Raw genomic sequence first — 20,467 nt, forward strand, 5'->3', positions numbered from 1 at the left:
TTGTATGTTGATTTTGTATCCTGAAACTTTGCCAAAGCTGTTTATCAGCTGAAGGAGCTTTTGGGCTGAGACTATGGAGTTTTCCAGATATAGAATCATGTCATCTGCAAACAGGGATAGTTTGACTTCCTCTCTTCCTATTTGGATGTACTTCATTTCTTTCTCTTGCCTGATTACTCTGGTCAGAACTTTCAATAATATGTTGAATAAGAGTAATGAGAGAGGGCATCCTTGTCTTGTTCTTGTTTTCAAGAGGAATGCTTCCAGCCTTTGCCTATTCAGCATGATGTTGGTTGTGAGAGTACTTCATTCTTGATTATGAACAGACAATAAAGGATAATCAGCCTTCTGAGCAGAGCCTCAAACATGAAAGTCAAAAAGTAAAACAAAGAAAGAGTCTCAAAGAGAAACAGAAGCAATGCAGCAAACTGAAGAAAACTTCAAAAACACACTAGAATTGATATCCTCAAAGAAATACAAATTGTATTCATGGGACAAGAAAAGGGGCAATTAAAAAAGGCCTTTTGGAGAATAAGAAAGAAATTTTGGTAGTTAGAATGTGATAGCAGAAGTTAAAACTTTAATAGGATGGAAGATAATGAAAGAACAGAAAGTTAAAAGTGGTAAAATGGTAGAGAAAGGATAAGAAAGCTAAGAGATCTGTTCAGGAAATTCCACAACTAAAATAATAGAAAGATGTTCCAGACAGAAACAGAAAATTGACAGGAAAGCATCATTCTCCCTAGGGTAAATTTCTGAAAACTAAAGAAATCAGTTTCTAAAGCAAGTACTCACCAAGTGCCCAGCACAGAGAATGACAAAAGATTAACATGATGATACATTGTGATCAAATTGAAGAAACCCAAGTGAAAAGTAAAAAATTTTCTTTCAGAAAAAGCTTCTGAAGCAGGGGGAAGGGTGGGGGGCCCACCATATATCACACAAAGAAATAGAAATGGGAATGTCATTGGATTTCTCAGCAGCATCACTGGAAATTAGGAAACAATGGAATGGTGTCCTAATCTTCTGCTGAATATTTTTAAAATATGTGATTTTCTATTCAGCCAAACTGTTCCATCTGAGATAAAATAACATGTTCAGACATCCAGAGTCTCAAATTTACTGCCAATGCACAGGACATTTCTGGATGATTTGCTCCTAGGAGTAAACCAAGAAGGAATAAAACTTTGGAACCAGGGTATAGGAGAATTGACATGAAAGAGAGATGAGGACAGTTCCTGAAGTGATGGAGAAGGGAAGTCTTATGATGACAGCTGTGTAGTCAAACCAGAGCATAAACCAGACTATAGCAGGGGAATAGAAAGCTCCAGGAAGGCTACCTCCTGGTAAAGAAATGATTTGGAAAGATTATCTGCTGTGTCTGAAGGTGTCAGGAGAAGAATTACCTCTCTGTCAAAGATGGAAGAAGAGTAAATGATGGTACCCAGAAAACTACGAAAGAAGAAAAGGAGACAATTTTTAATTCCAGAGACAACAAAAAGTTATACAAGAAAGAAATATAATCATGGCATTATATGTTGCTCACAAGTGAATAACAATGTGAATACTAAATATAATTTAATAAAAAGTGCTGATTTAACTATATTGGGAGGATTAAGAGAAAAGTATGTAGATATGTATAGGAGGGTCAATTCTTATTAGCTACCTACCCCAACATCCATTTTGCCTTCTAAGTAACAGAATATATCTGGGGGCTAATCTTTAAAGGACGACACCTTCCATCTGCATGTGCAGCTAAGTATGGCCATGTATCTAAGTTCAGTAGAAGTATTCAGTGGTACTTTAAGGAAATTGGCTTAAAACGGATGGAGTAGGCTGTTATTCTCCTGTTCCTGGCCTGGAATGGGAATGTAATGATTGAAGCTTTCACCACCATCATGGACTATGAGAATAAAGTACAGATACCAAAGATGATAGACCAGAGAGTTGGAAGGATATGAGGCCCTATATGATATTAGCACTGAACTGATTACCAATGCATTTGTTTTATGTGAGATTATATATATATTTATGCCATCATATTCAGGTGGCAATTATATGTAGCATAACTAGATCTTAACTGATATGTATCACTAAATAATATATAAAATTAAATATTAGGAAATATCAGTGTAAACATGTTAGTAATATGGAGGTAAATACTAGGAGAAACAGGAAAAAAACATTAAAAGTAGTTGCCTTTGGCAGTGGGAATTGGGGTAGAAGCACATGGTTACTATTTTTTTAATAACCCTTTTAGTCATTGTTACAGTTTGGATGTGGTTTGTCTTCACCAAAACTCATGATGAAATTTGAGCCTCAAGGCAGCATTGTTGCGAGGTACGGCCTCATCGGAGGTGTTTGGGTCATAGGGGCAGATTCCTCATGAATAGATTAATCCCCTCCCTTGTGAGTGAATGGAGTTTTTGCTCTGGCAAGAATGGATTAGTTCCCAAGATAGCAGGTTGTTAAAATACGAGAGAGAGGTGCATGGCCACCGGCTTTCAGCCCATTGTCCTTGTTCTTTGGCTTGCAAATCGAGAGTACCCTCCAAATCACTTGACTTTCCTTTTCTCAGAGTTGTAGCTCTCCAGAGATGTCCCCAGATGCTCCACATTAAAGATACATCCTTTCATTGCTTTTCCCCCCAGCAATTATGAAGTGTTTACGAGAGAACTAATTCACATTGTCATGGCTGGAAATATTCTCTGATGCTCAACTCCCCTAATCTATAGATTGAATTGGTTTAAGGTCTACTTTGTATTACGAGCATTGTTGTTCCTCCTTGATAGTGACTCTGTTCTTGGTTCAGGTGGACAGCTACTATGCTGCCATTAAAAACCAACTAGGTGGGAGCTTATTCCTCTGCTGAATTGTGCAGTGACTGGTCTCACCCAAGACTTTCATGTGTGAAGAAGCACCTTCTTTTTATCAGGAAATTTCTAGTATTTCCTGTTATTCACAGCTGAATGTAATGCCTCAGTTCATTTTCAATTGTTTGATTATATGTGATAAAAAATGTGTTTTCTTGGCAACCAATATTTCTGTACATTTATATTAGAAATAGATTAATAACTGTTTATAGCAACTACATGCTAACAAATCTTATTGTCTTTTTAATTAATTAAGCTAAACATCCCATTGCCATGATGTATTAGATCAAGTTTATAATGTTACCATGTTATTCTTTGGACGTTGTGAGTTAGTGTTACCATGTGGATAAAATGTCAGACATCTTTTTCCTCATGTAAATTTTACTTTTCATGTTTATATACTTACAGTTTTAATTTTGATCCTAAGTTTTCATTCATTCATTATACCAAAAGTTAACTCATGTTCTTCCAAATGACTTCTTACCGAAAGCCACACACAAAAAAAGAGTTTGGCTTCCTTGATTTTTTTTCTCTCTTGCTTCCTCTCTCATCACGTGATCCCTTTGCACATGCCCCTTTCCACTTTCTGCCATAAGTGGAAGCAACATGAGGCCCTCGCTTGATGCAGCTATCCAATCTTGAATTTTCCAGTCACCAGAATCATGAACAAAGTAAACCTTTCTTTCTTTATAAATTACCTAGCCTCAGGTATTCTTTTACAGCAACACAAAATGGACTAAGGCAGTAATATTTGACATTTTAAATTTGAACATGTATTACTTTAAATGAAATTAAATTAATATTTTTAGTTGTGATTAATATTTATGTTCATTGTAAACAGTTGAACAATACAACAGAATATAGATAAAAAGTTCTGCCTCTCTTCAATATTCTTTACTTTTTCCCCCTGCCCATAAATTCCACTCTCCTCCCCAGGATTTGGTGCCCAAGATTTGGTCTCTCCATATTTTTTCTGTACATTCATATAGCATATATAAGAGACATAGTTTCTTCTTCTACTCCTTTTTATTAAAAGTAAGTATATTTAAATGTTAACTTGAAAATTGTACATATGAGAGAATACTTAAGGAATGTTTGTTTATATTTTTAGAATTTACGATGTAGGCATGCAGTTAAAAAGTCAACAAAATGAATTTCAGAAAGTAAAGAAACAACTGAGTCATTTGCAAGATGAGCTAAAAATTAAATATAGACAATCATACATCTTCAGGTAAGATTAAAGAACTGAAAATTATAAAGATTGAAAAGATATGCTTAATACTAACTTTGTAAATAGCCAAACACATTTTAGTAATATGGTTTCTATATCTGGTGTGATTGAGAAAAGTGAAACAGCATTAGGTTTTCTTTTTTCTTTTTTAAACCATTATCTCAATGAATAGTGTTGCTAATTAAATTTAAATTAGGCATATACCTTGTTCTATTAGTGCCTTGTTACTGTTCTTATTTTGTGGTGGCATTTAGAATGAAAGCACGGTAACTAATTTCCCTCTTCACCAATATTTCTTGGTGTATTTGATCCTCTGAGTGATAGTCCAGTGACAAGAAAAGTAATAGAATAAGAAAACTTCCTAAATAATATTAACATACTCCTTAAATTCAGAAATATCTAGTGTAAAGCATGTTAATTCTGCTTTTATATAATCTTTGGAGGGTTTATAATACCTAAAGATAAAATCCAGCGTTCTAAAGAAACTAAGAAGTACATTTTCTTTCCTAAAATTTGAATTGAGTATATTGAGAATGTTTATGAGAAAGAATAGTTCCTTTTTGAATTGAATAACTTTTAGCTCTTAGAAAAGGGAAGGCAATAAGTTAATTCAACATGGCAAATGACACAGGTTCTGGATGACTAAAAAAGTATGCTGGGTGAGTGTTTTGAATAAGTTTTTGCTTTTTATCTAAGAATTATTACCAGGAATATTCTGAATAAATTTCTGTGGGCTAATAATTTTTAATTCATTTTCTGATAATAACCTATTGAACATCTACCTTTTACAAATGCTTTGCACATAACTGATGCTCAATACATAATTTTTGAATGAATCCATGAATGAAATCCACTCACAAAACAAGTGACCATTTTTATCATCAGAAATCCCCTTGATCCTTTCCTAGAAATCTGGTGTTGAACCAAAAGGATAATGCCATCCAGGTGACCCCAACTTTTGTATTTTAATCAGGACTATCAGTATTCATTTTTGGCTTCTGTAATAGCTTTGGCCCATATCTGCCGCAGAAGGCTCATCTGATTTATCCACCAAAGCCTTCATGGATGGTAAGATTTACCTTTAAAGGCTGGACTGGGACTAGACCAAATAATTATTGCCGCTTCAGGATATTATGGGACTGATACACTTGATCCTAATTATTTTCATTTTTGCATGTTATCTTCAGTATTTCAAATTTTTGAAGAAACATAGACATACAAATGGAGGTGTTATTTTTATTCTGTATTCTAATTTTGTCATCATTTTGAGTTATACTTTTAACAGCTTATTTTGTTCACATGTTTCCATAGATCTGTGATTTTTGCTCATTTTTAGCTGAAAGATCACAAATTAGGAGTCTGGGATCTGACTTACATAAAAATAGTACATACTAAAAACAATTTTGGAAGTAACTAGTCAACTAGACACTTAGTACAAATTACAGTTTGTAATAGATGAATAGAAATAATTATTGTTTTTATACTTTCACTGGTAGATATAATGCATTCCATAGAAAAAGGTATACTGTTAAAAATAAAATCAAACCAAATTTCTAGAGTTCAGTGACTTTTGTTGCATTACTAAAAGCTGATTTTAAGCTAGATTATTGATTATTTTTAAAATATCAGGCCATAAAACTTAGTTGCTCTTAATAAAGAAAAAGAGCTTATAATCTTCTGTCTTGAAGAGGTAAAGGATTCGTAGGCCAAAATGTGGGATGAAAAAAAAAAAAGAGTTAAGGGAAAGAAACATGAGCTTTTTACTCAGATATAATCATCTTTATTTATGGAGCCTAAAAGGAACTTTCAGTAGATCAGTGAACTATGTTTTGGGGTCCATTGCTGTTTTTAATTTCTTCTCTCTTTTGTTTAATTACAATTGGGCTTAATCACTAGCCTCCAGCAAAGTATTCTTTCATGATCTGTGTTTTCCCTGACATCATTTCCAGCCTGTGTCTTGCAAGGGCTCAGCATATTAGTTGGCACATTGGTTGGCTCAGCACATCTGCTACTCAGAATAAAGTGTCTTTTGAAAATGCAAATTAATTGTAGAAGGCCTATAAAATAGATATTAAAAACCTGAATGAAATATAGATATATTTCACCTCACAAAGTTGTGTTTAAGTTCAATATTCCAAATCAGACCATATTTGAAATATTCTAGCAGTATTTACTTTTAGAGGATTACTATTGTGAATCTTTTATAAATTATTTGAAATAAAGAGTACTTATCCTTTAATTTTTCTTATTTGTAAAGCTAGACCTTATCATCTCTAAAATTTTCAATGTCAACTCCAAAAATTTCTCTTGCAGCTCTCTCAGTTTCACTTCGCTTCTTCAGTCTAATTAAGGATGCTAATATTTTTTCTTAATTTCCCAACCATATTTTGGCTTTACTTTGTTTTCTATCCTTGATCCCATAGTTTATTACCCCGTATCTTTTTAAAAACATCCTCATTGAGATATAATTTGCATACCACAAAATTCACCTATCTTAAGGAGACAATTTAATTATTTTTAATAAACCTACAGAGTTGTGCCACCAAATGTTAGCTATTAGATTGGCAACCACATCCAATATTAGAACACTTGACTAATTCCAGAAAAGACCCTCCAGACCCTCATGCCATCTTCAATCAATCTCTGTGCTCACCTTCAGCTCACCAGGCAACTAACATTTCTCTTTCTATAGATTTATACTTTTCTCGACATTTCAGATATATGGAATCATACAATATGTTGTCTTTACATCTGGCTTTTACTAATTATGTTTTTGAGGTTCACTCATGTTGTGGCACTTATCCATACTTTTGTTCCTTTTTATTGCTGAACAGTATTCCACTGTATGGATATACCACATTTTATTTATCCATTTACCAGTTGATGGATATTTGGATTGTTTCCACTTGTTGGTGCTTATGAATAATGCTGCTGTAAACATTCATATACAAGTCTTTGTGTGGACATATGTTTTCAATTCTTTGGAGTAGATACCTAAGTGTGGAATCACTAGGTCATATGATTAATGTATATTTAATTTTTTTTTTTTTTGAGACGGAGGCTCGCTCTATCACCCAGGCTTGAGTGCAGTGGCATGATCTTGGCTCACTGCAACCTCCGCCTCCCAGGTTCACGCCATTCTCCTGCCTCAGCCTCCCGAGTAGCTGGGACTACAGGTGCCCGCCGCCATGCCTGGCTAATTTTTTGTATTTTTAGTAGAGATGGGATTTCACCGTGTTAGCCAGGATGGTCTCAATCTCTTGACCTCATGATCTGCCTACCTCAGCCTCCCAAAGTGCTGGGATTATAGGCGTGAGCTACCGCGCCCTGCCAATCAATATTTAATTTTTTAACTGCCAACCTGTTTTCCAAAGGGGCTGCACATTTTACATTCCCACACCATGAATGAGGATTCTAGTTTCTCCATGTTTTTGTCAACACTCCCTATTGTCTGCCTGTTTTGTTGTAGTCATTCTAGTGGGTGTAAAATAGTATCTCATTGTAGCTTTGATTTGTGTTTCCCAAGTTACTAATGATGTTGAGCATCTTTTCATTTGTTTGTTAATCATTTGTATATCTTACTAGTGAAACATCTCAAATATTTTGCCAATTTTTAATTGGTTTATTTTCTTATTATGTGATTGTAAGAGTTCTTTCTATATTCTGGGTATAAGGCCTTTATATGAACTATGATTTGCAAATATTTTCTCCCAGTGGCTTATCTTTTTATTTTCTTAATAATGTCTTTTGAAAAGCAAAGTTTGTTATTTTTAATGAAATATAATTTATCTGTTTTATAGATTGTGCTTTTGCTGATGTCTGTAAGAACTCTGTCTAAGCCGGTCAGAAGGATTTTCTCCTGTATTTTCTTCTAAGTGTTTTATAGTTTTAGCTCTTCTTTAGATCTATGATCTATTTCAGCTAACTTCTGTGTATGATATGAGGTAAGAATCTAAATTCATCCTGTTTCACGTGGATATTCAATTGTTCCAGTGCTGTTTGTTAGAGGCCAATTTTTCCTTATTGAATTGCCTCAGCATCTTTGCCTAAAATAAATTCACCATAAATGTAAAGGATTATTTTTGGATTTTCTATTCTATTCCATTAATCTATATGTCTTATGTCAGTGCCACACTCTCTTAAGTACTACAGTTTTTAATAAATTTTAAAATCAAGAAATATAATTACTCTAACTTCCTTCTTCGTTTTCAAAATTGTTTTTGCTATTCTGCGCCCTCCATAATGAATTTTAGGATCAGCTTGTGAATTTCTGCAAAGTAACCTGCTGGGATTTTGATAGGTATAGTATTGAATCTATAGATCAATTTGGGGAGAATTTCTACCTTAAAATTTTTGTATCTTTCAATTCATGAATGTGGTATGTTTTTCCATGGAGATCTTTAGCCCTCTCAAAAATGTTTTGTTTTCTTGAACTTCTTTTATTACAATTTATTTCTAAGTGTTTTATTCTTTTTATGTTGTTATGAATTGGGACTGTTAATTTTATCTTGGGGATTGGTCATTGTTAATATACAGAAATAAAATTGATTTTTGTATATGTATCATGTATCCTGTGACCTTGATGAATTTGTTTATTAATTCTAGTATTTGTGTGTGTGTGTGTGTGTGTGTGTGTGTTTGTGTGTGTCTTCTTTAGAATTTTCTACATAGAGGAGTTTGCTAACACTCCAAGTCCTTTTACCTCTACTCATTTAGTTGTATTTACCCTTAAATCCTTTGGACTTCATACCTACTTCCAGGTTGTTAAACACTAATTCCTTAGTGAGGAATCCTCAATATTCTGCTTAGGCTCCTTGGTGTTATTCATCTCTTAGCAACTGTTTTTCTTGCCTCTTATTTCACAGAGAATGTTAAGGTTACCAATAGAGGCAAATTTATTGTGAACCAGATGATGCTTAAGTTTCAGAGTCTCTCACTTAGGACTTCCTTCCAAGGTTCTGGGAGGGCTCCTGGTGAAAGCGAGATGAATGGGTTGTAATTTGGTTAAAAATTCTCTTTCTACTCAGGTTTTTCCTCTCTCTCACTTTTTAAAAAAATTAATTATTAATTTTTTGTGATTCTCACTTCTGTTGTCAGTATACCATTGGAGTAGTCACAGGCATTTGGAGGATCTGAGTAAGGGAAAGTTGGCTTAGGAGTATACCATTATAATTGCCATTTAGTAAGATATTTTAGAATGCTTTAATGAAACAAGCAAGAAATTACATTAATTTGGATGTATATAATTTTTAAAATTAATCAAATAAAAGCATTTATAAGCAAATTAGGCAATAGAAATTATTGTGGCCTAAAGAAGCAAATCGTAATAACTTTTTTGATTACATCAAAGCAAATTTATTAATAGAAAGATAAATTTTTTAAAGTTCTTGGGTTATTTGATAATCTAATGAAAGGGAGTTAATTATTCAGATACATTGGAGAAAGATTTAAGTTTTCACTGATTTCACAAATATGAGTAACATCACTGAATGTAACATACAAATCATAATATACTACTTCAGGGAGACCATCTAAGATAAACTGGCCCATGAGTTTCATTGTTTCAAAGACAATTTAATCACTTTCCAAGAAAACCTGAAATGACAATCTTATGTATTAGAAAAGTTTAATAAGAATTTCCCCAAATTGGACAATGCTAAGAATTTGTGTGGCATTACTGATTACCAAATTACTAATTACTAATTACCAAAGGCCTCCCAGATAAAATGGACTCTATTCAGCCTTTTTCTGCAGACTTAAACACTGATCACTACATTTTTCTTAAAATTTCCATATCCCCTGGCTTTTCTGACATTATTCTTTTGGCTTATCTTCTTACTCACTGATGAGTTCCCCCTAGTCTCCTTTGAGGGATTCTTTTTAGTTTCAGTCCCTTAAATGTTTGTGTTGTCCAGTGTGTTATCCCTAGCACTTCTCACTTTTCCATTTCTCCAACTGAGGAGGAATCTATTTTATTTACTCTTTCATTCAATATTTGTTGAGCACATATTATGCAGTAGGCACTGTGCTAGATGCTAGAGAGACTGTGATGAGCAAGATAGATATAACCTCTGCCTTATAGATCTTAGTCTACTCAGGGATGTAAATATTGACAAAATAATTATACTCTCATGGCTTCAGTCATCACCTTTTTGCTGCTCTCAAATCTATGTCTGTATTTTATTTGATTATTAAGATAATTAAAACCAGAATAAAATCACTGAGATGACAAAAATGTGATTACTTTGAGCTGTTGGATTTTATGAAGCAAATGCACTGGATCAGTCACTTTGAATTGTTTTATTTATTATTACCCCAGATTTTTCACTACCTATATAACCATGGTATGCGGGACAAATGCTGTATAAGACTTTAAGATTGTCATTTAGGATCTAAGACTAAATTTCTCTGACCTAATTTTCTTCACTAAATGTTTACGGTTGAATAAAAAAAGATTAATAGAACAAATGTATATGAAGGTAGTTAGCTATCTTTCTTTGTAGTTAAAATAATGGCAAAATGGAAATGAGTTAGAGTGACCATACACTTCACTCTATCTGAGATATTCCTAGTTTGTGTTTTGTCTCAGCATAATATGAATACCACCTTCTTTTGGTTTCAAAATTGTCTCCAATTAGACACTAGATTATATGGTCACTCTAAAACTATTTTTGAAGAAATGTTTGTTATGCTTACTATTTTTTAAAATCCTATTTTTTTTTTTTACTTTGCAGTCAAAGATTGTCAGAGTACAAATATTTCTGGAATAAGACTCTTTCATTACTTACTTTTACTAAAAGGGAACTAACCAGTATTAAAAATGAAGTATATGATAATTACCAAAACTGGACTTCATTGAAAGGAGCAGTTTTTCTACAAATTAAATCTATAAGTGAAACAGCCTTGACAGGTTTGTTACATATATTTAGAATATAATTGTCCCTTTTTGGTAAATGGTACATCATAAGTAATAAAATAATGATATTTCATTTTATTTGATGGGAATTAGGATTAACTTTGTTATCACTTGTTAGAGTAGATGACCATTAAGATCTATTTCAACTCTGAAATTTAATTATTATAGGTTTATCTAAGATAATCTATGATACATCTATCCTGAACTGTGGCCAGAAGTCTGTTCATTACTGTTAAAAGTAGTAATCTATGTTTTTAAAACTCCTCTTCTCTTAATGACTGAGTAGCTCATATTAGGTCAGCCTTCTTATAGATAACAACTTTAATTCTAGAAAAATAGCTACCTAAAGACAATAAAGAGTGACCCAAAGCAAAAACATAATGGAGGCAGTATCAAAAATTAAAAGAAGGCATACTAAGTGAAAGATGCCAATTTGAAAGGGCTACGTACTATATTATTCCAACTATATGACATTCTGGAAAAGACAAAACTATGGAACAGTAAAACAATCAGTGGTTGCCATGAGTTCCAGACAGAGGATAAATGAGAAGAGCAAAGAAGATTTTTAGGGCAGTGAAACTAATCTGTACAATGCTACAATAGTGGAGACATGTCATTATACATTTGTCAAAGTTCATAGAATGTACAACATGAAGACTGAACCCTAATGTAAACTATAAATTTTGGGTAGTAATAATAATGTTGATTCATCAATTGTAACAAGTACTACTCTCCCACAGGGTGTCCCTAGTGGGGGAGCTTTTGCATATGTGGAGAGAGGGGGATATGGGAATTCTCTGTACTTTCTGCTCAATTTTCCTGTGAACCTAAAACTGTTCTAAAAAATAGTCCATTAAAGGTTTTTATTAATGTTGAAAAATGCATGGCAGTGAGTGAATTTTTTCTTTTTAAGGATATTGGACTGAGAGCAAGGTACAGTTTGCTCCATGCAAAGAAGCTAAAAATCTGATAGAAAACTGTAGACTAGAGGATAGAGATCAAGGCAACCTCAGCCTCTGAGAAGTAAGGGGATATCCCAGAGAAGTGAAAGCCAGAGAAAGAGAGCTCAAATTTTGCATATAAACTCTTTCCAAATCTCAGGCTTATCCCTGAAATACATGTGCTCAATGAAGATGCTAAATAGTCCATCTGAAACTAAAGTAGTTGATATTTTAGCTGTCACCTACCCTATGAGAAACAGATTTAACACTCTAAGTTTAGCCAGATTAACTTCTTGTTAAAATAATACAAGAAAAAAATAAATACTCTTTGGAATAACATAATAAGAATCCAGAGTCTCTATAACATAACACCCACAATGTTCAGTATACAATCCAAAATTACTCATATCCAAAAGAATAGAGACCAGTTGACTCAGATGATATAATTAGCTAACCAGGATTTCAAATTAGCTATCATAACAATGCTCAAGGATATAAAGGAAAATATACTAGTAATGAATAAAAAGAAAATCTGAGTAAGCAACTATTAAAAAATGAGAAATTCAAGAATTGAAAAATATGGTGTCTGAAATAAAATTTCACTGGATGGACTTTTTTTTTTTAAAGTCAAGAACTTATTTTATTTTATTTTAAAATAAACATTGAAGATCCCCCATTTCCCACCACCCTACAAAACTTTTGAATGTGGAATGTTCAACAGCCTATCCATTTTGGTAGGTTACAAAATCAGCAAAAACTCCAGTTGTCTAATGATGAATGTTTGAGAATAGTTTTGTTTTTAAATAGCTGAGCACCTACTGGAAAAATTCCTGGGCTAAATGCTGAAAATAAAATTTAATTTCTGCACAGAAAATACCATTAACATAGTAGACTTTGCTTAAAGGTGGGATTAATTCTCCATGAAGTCAGAATGAGACAATAGCAGCATTAAGTTCGTAGGCACACAGAACTAGTGCTCAAACTGCTAGCACAAATTCCAATGGGATGCCGCAAATGAACACTCAGCAAGTGAATTAATCTGATTCACGGGATTATGTTTAATCGCCGAAAACACACTGGCCAGTGTACCATAATATGTTACCAGAAGAGTTATTATCTATGTGTTCTCCCTTTCAGAAAACTTATGTTAAAGGGACTGTTTTCATCCCATAAAGACAGGACTACAATTGTCAGCTTTCTATTACCTGGATATGGAAGGAAACTATTTTTACTCTGCATGTTCTGTTCTAAGCGTCATCTTGAGCCTTGCACATGATACTCAGATTCCTCACCCTTGCTTAGGAGTAAAACAATATACTTTATGAGGTGATAATATTTTCCATAGTTATTTGAAGTGGCTTGAAAAAGGCAAGATTGACTTTTTTGACATTGGATAAAATCTACAAATCAGCCCTCGAGTTATTCAATGATAACTGACAAACTAAAATATTTCCCTAGAAAGGAAGATGAAAGGAGTGAAGTGTGGTTTGGCAGAACAACTGCATTTCACAGCTTTTCCAGTTAAATTGGAGCACTGAATGTTCAGATGCATACCAAATTATGCATGGGTCCTAATCACACATATAAGGCTGGATGGACTTTTATAGCACATTGCATTTACAGAAAAAAGAATCAGTGAATTTAAAGATAAATCAATAGAAATTATTCAATTTGAAGAAGAGAGATAAACATTGAAAAAAAATGAATGGAGCCCCAGCATCCTCAGGAAAGAATAAAATGCACCATAAGTGACAAATATGAGTAAATATAAAAGACTCCTTTTCCTTTAAATTTTTTTTTAAAAACTCACATGCTTATTTAAAGCAAGCATTATTATTTTGTGGGGCTTATAAAGTATGTCAATGTAACATGACAACTAGAGTCTAAAGGATGGAGAGGTGGATAAATGGATTCATTTTGTTGGACTATATTTGTATTTTATGTGACATGGCAGAATATTTTATTTAAACCAATAAATTAAGTATGTATATTATAATTTCTAGAGCAACTACTAAAAAATTAAATACAGAAACATGTAGCTAAAAAGCTAATACATAATTTAAAAGATAACTCTTTAAAAAGTATTCAAACAATCCAAAAAATGGCATTTTAAACATCATCTAAGATTTATACAGTAATCAAATCAGTATAGTGCTGGCATATGGATCAACAAAGATGAATAGAACAAGATAGCCTGGTAAATGACCCTACTTATATAATCAATTGACTTCTGACAAAGGCACCAAAACAATCCAATGGGAAAAAGAAAGTCTTTCAACAAATTGTGCTGGTATGACTGAATACCCATGTAGAAAAATATACCTCAACTTCTGCCTCACACCATACATGAGAATTAATTTAGGATAAATCATAAGCCTAAATGCAAAGGATAAAATTATAAAACTACTAGAAGAAACATAGCAAAATATCTTCATAACTTGATGGTAAATGAAGATTTCATGGATAGGACATAGAAGTAAGAACTATAAAAGAATGAAAATTGGTGAATTAGACTTTATCAGAATTAAAACATCTGTTCATCAGAAGCTATCAGTATGAAAATGAATAGTTAAATCAGAGAAAATATTTACAAAATGTGTGACAAAGAACTGTTGTCCCAGTTACATAAAGAATGCCTACAAGTCAATAATAAAAGTATTCAATCAAAAATGACCAAAAGATCTGAACAGACACTTTTACACAGGAAGATACATAAATGGCCAATAAAGACACAAGAATGTTCTCAACATTATTAGCTCATCTGCTTGACTAAAATGAAACAGTCTGATGGCAGCAGATGTTACTGAGGAAGTAGAGTACTGGAATCCTTTTACAAATTGGTGAGAATGTAAATTGCTACAGCCACTTAGAGAAAATATCTGACAGTTTCTCATTAAACTAAATATACATCTATCCGAAGTCCCTGAAATTCCACCCTTTGGTATTTACCCAAGGAATGTGAAAATGTACGTCCACAAGATACTTATATGAGAATATTCAGCAACTTTATTCAAGCTTAATTCAAAATATCCTAAAACTGCAAAAAACTCAGGAGTACATCAGTAGTAGAATGGGTTCTCTAAAAGAAAACAATTGAATATATTCAGTGGGATATATAATGAACTGCAGATAATGTGGTAGCATGGATAATCCTCAAAAATATTATGGTACTTGAAAATAGCCTTACACAAATAATACATATTGTATTATTTCATTTATACGATGTTCTAGAAACAGGCAAAACTAATCTACACTGGGGAAAAAATGTTTGCCATGGAGGGTAGGATTGACTGGAAAAGCACAAAGGCACTTTCTTTGATGATAGAAATTCTTTATGTTTTGATAGGGGTTTTTATTACATAGTGGATGCATTTGCCAACACTCATCTATTGGTGCACTTGAGATTTGTACAATTCTGTAGGTAAATTTACTCAAAAATAAAAAGAAATATATGCAAATGTTGAACTCTTATCTGTATGATGAAATGTTTAGGAGAGAAGTGTATTTATGTCTGTAACTCACCTTGATATTCACAGGATGGATTGATGGATGTATAAAGTATTTGACAGGTATATAGTTATGTGACAAAGAAAATATAGTAAAATATTAATTGTAGAATCTAAGTAATGTGTATATTTGTGTCCAGTATACAATAATTTTAACTTCTCTATATGTTTTAAAACTTTCATAGTTAAATATTGGAAAAAAATCATGTTAAACCATGAAACTTTAATTTCACTTCTAACAATTTTGTTATGTAATATGTGCGTTCAGAAATGCATTTTTATATGACAATATGCTTTTAAATTTGAAATTTAACTTTAATAATTAAATTTAGGCAAATAGAGGAATATTATAACAAACATGTAAAAAGTATATCTATATTAGGCCATGTGTGGTGGCTCATGCCTAGCACTATGGGAGACTGAGGCAAGTCAATAGCTTGAGCTCAAGAGTTTGAGACCAGCCTGGGCAACATGGCAAAGCCCTCTCTCTACTAAAAATACAAAAATTAGCCAGGTGTGGTGGTGCGCACCTGTAACTCCAGCTACTTGGGAGGCTGAGGCATGAGAATTGCTTGAACCTGGGAGGTGGAGGTTGCAGTGAACATGTCACTGCACTCCAGCCTGGGTGACAGAGTGAGACTCTGTCTCAAAAAAAAAAAAAAAAAAGGGTATCTATGTTATTAAATGGAGCAGCTGGGCATGGTGGCTCACGCCTGTAATCCCGGCAATTTGGGAGGCCGCGGCAGGCGGATCCCGAGGTCAGGAGATCGAGACCATCCTGGCTAACATGATGAAAACCTGTCTCTACTAAAAATACAAAAAATTAGCCAGGCGTGGTGGCGGGCACCTGTAGTCCCAGCAGCTTGGGAGGCTGAGGCAGCAGAATGGCGTGAACCCGGGAGGCAGAGCTTGCAGTGAGCAGAGATCATGCCACTGCACTCCAGCCTGGGAGACAGAGTGAGACTCCGTCTCAAACAAACAAACAAACAAACAAACAAAAATGGAGCAGACACTGAGAGTGTGCTAGTCGCTAGTCATATTCTTTGGACCTTTAGTGTTCTTCTACTGACTTTTAACTGCCAGTATCTGCATATCTGTGCCAGAGGAATCTTGCTTCTGCCACAGTTAATAATACAGATATACTTTACATAATTATATTTCATTTCGTAAATATACTATATATTATGCATCATTTCCATTATTTAAACATTCATATATGTCTTTTTTTGGATATATGTTTTTGTTATTTTTTGGGTAAATACCTAGGAGTGGAATGGCTGAATTGTATAGTAGAGTATATTCAACATTTTAAGAAACTACCCAAGACTTTTCCAAAGTGGTTGTTCCTTTCACATTTTTACCAGCAGTGTATGAGACCTCCAGTTGCTGCATATCTTTGCCAACACTTAGTATTGTCAGTCTCTTTAATTTTATTCTTTGTAATGAGGTATTCATATAAAAGATATGAATGTACATGTAAAATAGTCGTCTTGGTAATGTTCTCATTTTTGAGTGTCTTGTCACATCTTATAGAATATTTACCTCATAATATCAATAATTGTGAATTCAATCATACTAGAATTGGAGAGACATCAGCTCTAATGTTTTTGTTTACATTTGTGTTGCATTATTAATATTTTCTGTAATCCATGTTTTCTTTTTCAGGAAACTTTTAAGCCAACTATCCATTTTAGGACTGTTAATTAAACCACATAGCTGGGAACAGTTATATCAGTTATATAGTGCAGTGTATCACAATCTTAGAAAAATAACAAACAAGGAGACACTGACATCCCCTTTGTGTAGAGGAACAACCCTCCTCCCTTAGAAAGCTTCACTCACTTTGTTCTCCCTGAATGTGACCTGTGGCCATGACTGTACAATATGTGAAAAGAGGGAGGCCCTTCAGATTTATGCAGGTGAAATTGACTAAGGGTCTCCCAAACAAGTAGCTGTCCCTTCTTGTAATTGAAAGTCTCAGTTCAAATGTCACCTCCTCAGAAACATCTTTGCTGACTGCTCTAGTTAAAGTTGTCTTCCTTTATAGTCCTTGTCTATCCTGATTTTCTCTTTCAATTTTAATAATATTTACTACTACCAGAAATATTCATTTATTGATTTATGTGTTTACTGCCAGTCTCCTCCTACTGGTTGTAATCTTAGTGAAAACAGGAATTTTGATTGTTTTGCTGAGTGCTGTATTACTAGTGTTTTAAGAGAATTGAACCTGTCACATAGTAGGTGCTCAGTGAACTTTGTGGAATTGAAATGGAAGTAACAGTACACCCACATTTTCATAGTCAGATTCCTGATAATATTTATATTAGGTTTTGGAACCTCTGAGTATTCTCTAAGGTTTCTTAGTAACGCTTACATATTCTGTAATCTGGAAAGGGAGCAGAGGCTTCATTCATTAGCTACACTTTCTTGAAAACCAAAGGCAAATTTAATGTAGGCTATTATCAGTAGTACAATTCCAAATTGGATTTTAAAATTCAGTTTGGAAGTTTTTTATTGAATTTATAAGAGGAAAATATAAACACTTAATAATTAGTTTTTCCCAAATTCAAAAGGCTTTAAGGATTGTTGGAATCATAAACATAAAACAACCTCAATATAAAAACATAGAAAATACAGAAAAGGGGCAAAAAAAAGAAACATTGACATAAGTCATCTGTAATATCATGACACAGAGATAACTGCTGTTAACATTTTGATATAGAGCTTTCTAAACTTTCTTTCTGTGCATATATATATATACATACATATACACTTAAAATATATCATGAAAATATAGTCATGCCAATTAACTATGTTGACAGTATTTTATTATAGGTATGTATCTTATTTAACTAATTTTCTATTCATGAACATGTAGGTTGATCATAGTCTGGCTATTGTAAATAAGGCATCACTGAACATCTTTATACATGCATCTTTAGGATTTTATCCTGTTTTTTTTCTTTAACATAGTTAATTCCTAGAAGTGGAATTGCAGAATCAAAGTATATGCCCATTTTGCTTTTCATTTGCAAGTGTTACATTTTATATTTTATCAAACACGAAGAAATAGGAGTTAGTTTTCAACCCTTGACTTTTATATTTACCATTATAGTATATCACTTTTGCCTCAGAAGCTCAAGAACCTTGTTTAGAAGTTACACAGTGGTGATGACAGAAGCTCAAAGGTGGAAATGCACACATGAGGACAGTATATTCAATTCCCAAGCAAGAACTTGGTGAACACAACAGATGGGGTGTGTCAAACTGAAGCTATGTTATTATAAGAGCTTTTTTTGCCTTTTAAAAAACTTTCTTTTTAGTGCTATCACAGCAATCAAATTTCCAGGGCATGGATGTACAAACATGTGCAAATATGTGTAAAACTTTAAAGGTGCTGATGCTTGCCTTTTTAACAGTTTCTTTGATCAATTTGAACACATTTTAAATTTAACAGCAATCCTAATAGCTATATAAACATGCCAATTTTGTAGCATAGAATTTTAAGCAAATAATCTATATCTTAAATTTAAGTATAGAAAAAAATAAATTGAATGTAATGTTTTTAAAGGATAATTCTAGTAAAAGTTGAGGAACTATCCCACTTACATGAAAAGATGACCGGGAGCCTAAGAAGCATGCAGACCTTCGCTTTCCCATAGGTTAGCCACCAACCACATGGGGCTATTGAGCACTAGAAATGTGGATATAGCCTTTTGTTGAAATAACATTTTGGATATGTGGAATGAAATAAAATACACTATTAAAATTAATTTTGTGTGTTCTGATATTTTTAATATGGCTACTGGAAATTTAAAATTACATGTGTGGTTTGCATTATACATATTTCTATTGGATATGACTAGTACGGATAAATAGTGAAATGAACATTTTAACATAAAATTTGTAAATGTTATAATTTATTTGATATTCACAAAAATGATGAGGACGATGTGAATTATAGCTGAGGAACACTTTACAGTCACTCTTAATCCTAACCTGTTAATGTGTATTTCTAGTTGTCTTTATTATTTAATTCATCTTTTACTTAAATTTATTAAACAAACACTATTCAGAGTCAGGAATGTTAGAACTCTTGGCAGAAATCAGGAAAAATCTGGAGAGTAACATAGGATCCTTGATAGTGTTGCCCTTTTACAGACTGACCACCAGGTCTGGAGAAGGGCCGCACAAACCAATATGTCTGCACTCAACCACACTGGCCTCTGTGTTGCTGGCTTCAATTCTTAATACATAAAGATATATAGGCATTCTAAGAGCAGGTCTCTAGAGTCAGCCAAAGTTTATATCCTGACTCTGCCACTTAACAAAAAACTGGGGCTTCAGTGTCCTCATCTGTACAATGAGAACACACACACACACACACACACACACACACACACACACACCCCCCGTATGCCTAGCAGAATAAGGAAGCAAGATATGTTAGCTATAACTATTCTTTTTTATTCTAAAGTCTATGTTTTTTCTATCGTATTCGTTTCTCATTTCTGTTGCAGAATGGTTCATTGTAATGGGTTTATAGCTTTTCTCCTAAATAAAGTAACAAAAAGGGTTTTCACATGTAGTTTTTAAAAAATCTACATAATTAGACCAGAAAAATATACTCAACTGATTTTTGATAAGGACACACAGGAAATTCAGTGGAGGAAGAATAGCCTTTTCAACAAATGATGCTGGAACAATTGGATATCCTTAGGTAAAGAAAAAGAGAAAGTGCCTTGTCCTAAAGTGCACACTTTTACAAAAACTAACTCAGTGGATTAACCGCAGACTTAAATAGAAAATATGAAACTTTTAGGGAAAAAAATCTTTGGGGCCTAGGATTAGGCAAAGAGTTCTTAAACTTGAACTAAAATCATGGTACCTAAAAGGGAAAATTGATAACTTGGATCTCAGTAAAATTTAAGAACTTTTGCAGAGTGTAGTAGCACATGCCTGTAGTCCCAGCTACTCAGGACGCTGAGGTGGGAGGACTG

At 33.4% G+C, this 20,467-nt stretch overlaps 1 protein-coding gene across 2 annotated transcripts in view; it reads left to right on the plus strand.

Annotated features, from left to right (window-relative positions):
* Positions 1-20,467, plus strand: part of LEKR1 (leucine, glutamate and lysine rich 1) — a 219,777-nt gene that overhangs the window by 90,238 nt on the left and 109,072 nt on the right. Inside the window, exons 4-5 of one of the 2 annotated variants that reach the window (NM_001004316.3) lie at positions 3,985-4,104; positions 10,839-11,014. In NM_001004316.3, the coding sequence (NP_001004316.2) occupies positions 3,985-4,104; positions 10,839-11,014 (296 nt within the window). Of the gene's footprint in view, positions 1-3,984; positions 4,105-7,904; positions 8,667-10,838; positions 11,015-20,467 lie in introns of those variants that run through there. The other variant, NM_001193283.2, reaches the window with a different exon arrangement.

This window comes from Homo sapiens, chromosome 3 (genome assembly GCF_000001405.40).
Source record: "Homo sapiens chromosome 3, GRCh38.p14 Primary Assembly".
Taxonomy (NCBI): Eukaryota; Metazoa; Chordata; class Mammalia; order Primates; family Hominidae; genus Homo; species Homo sapiens.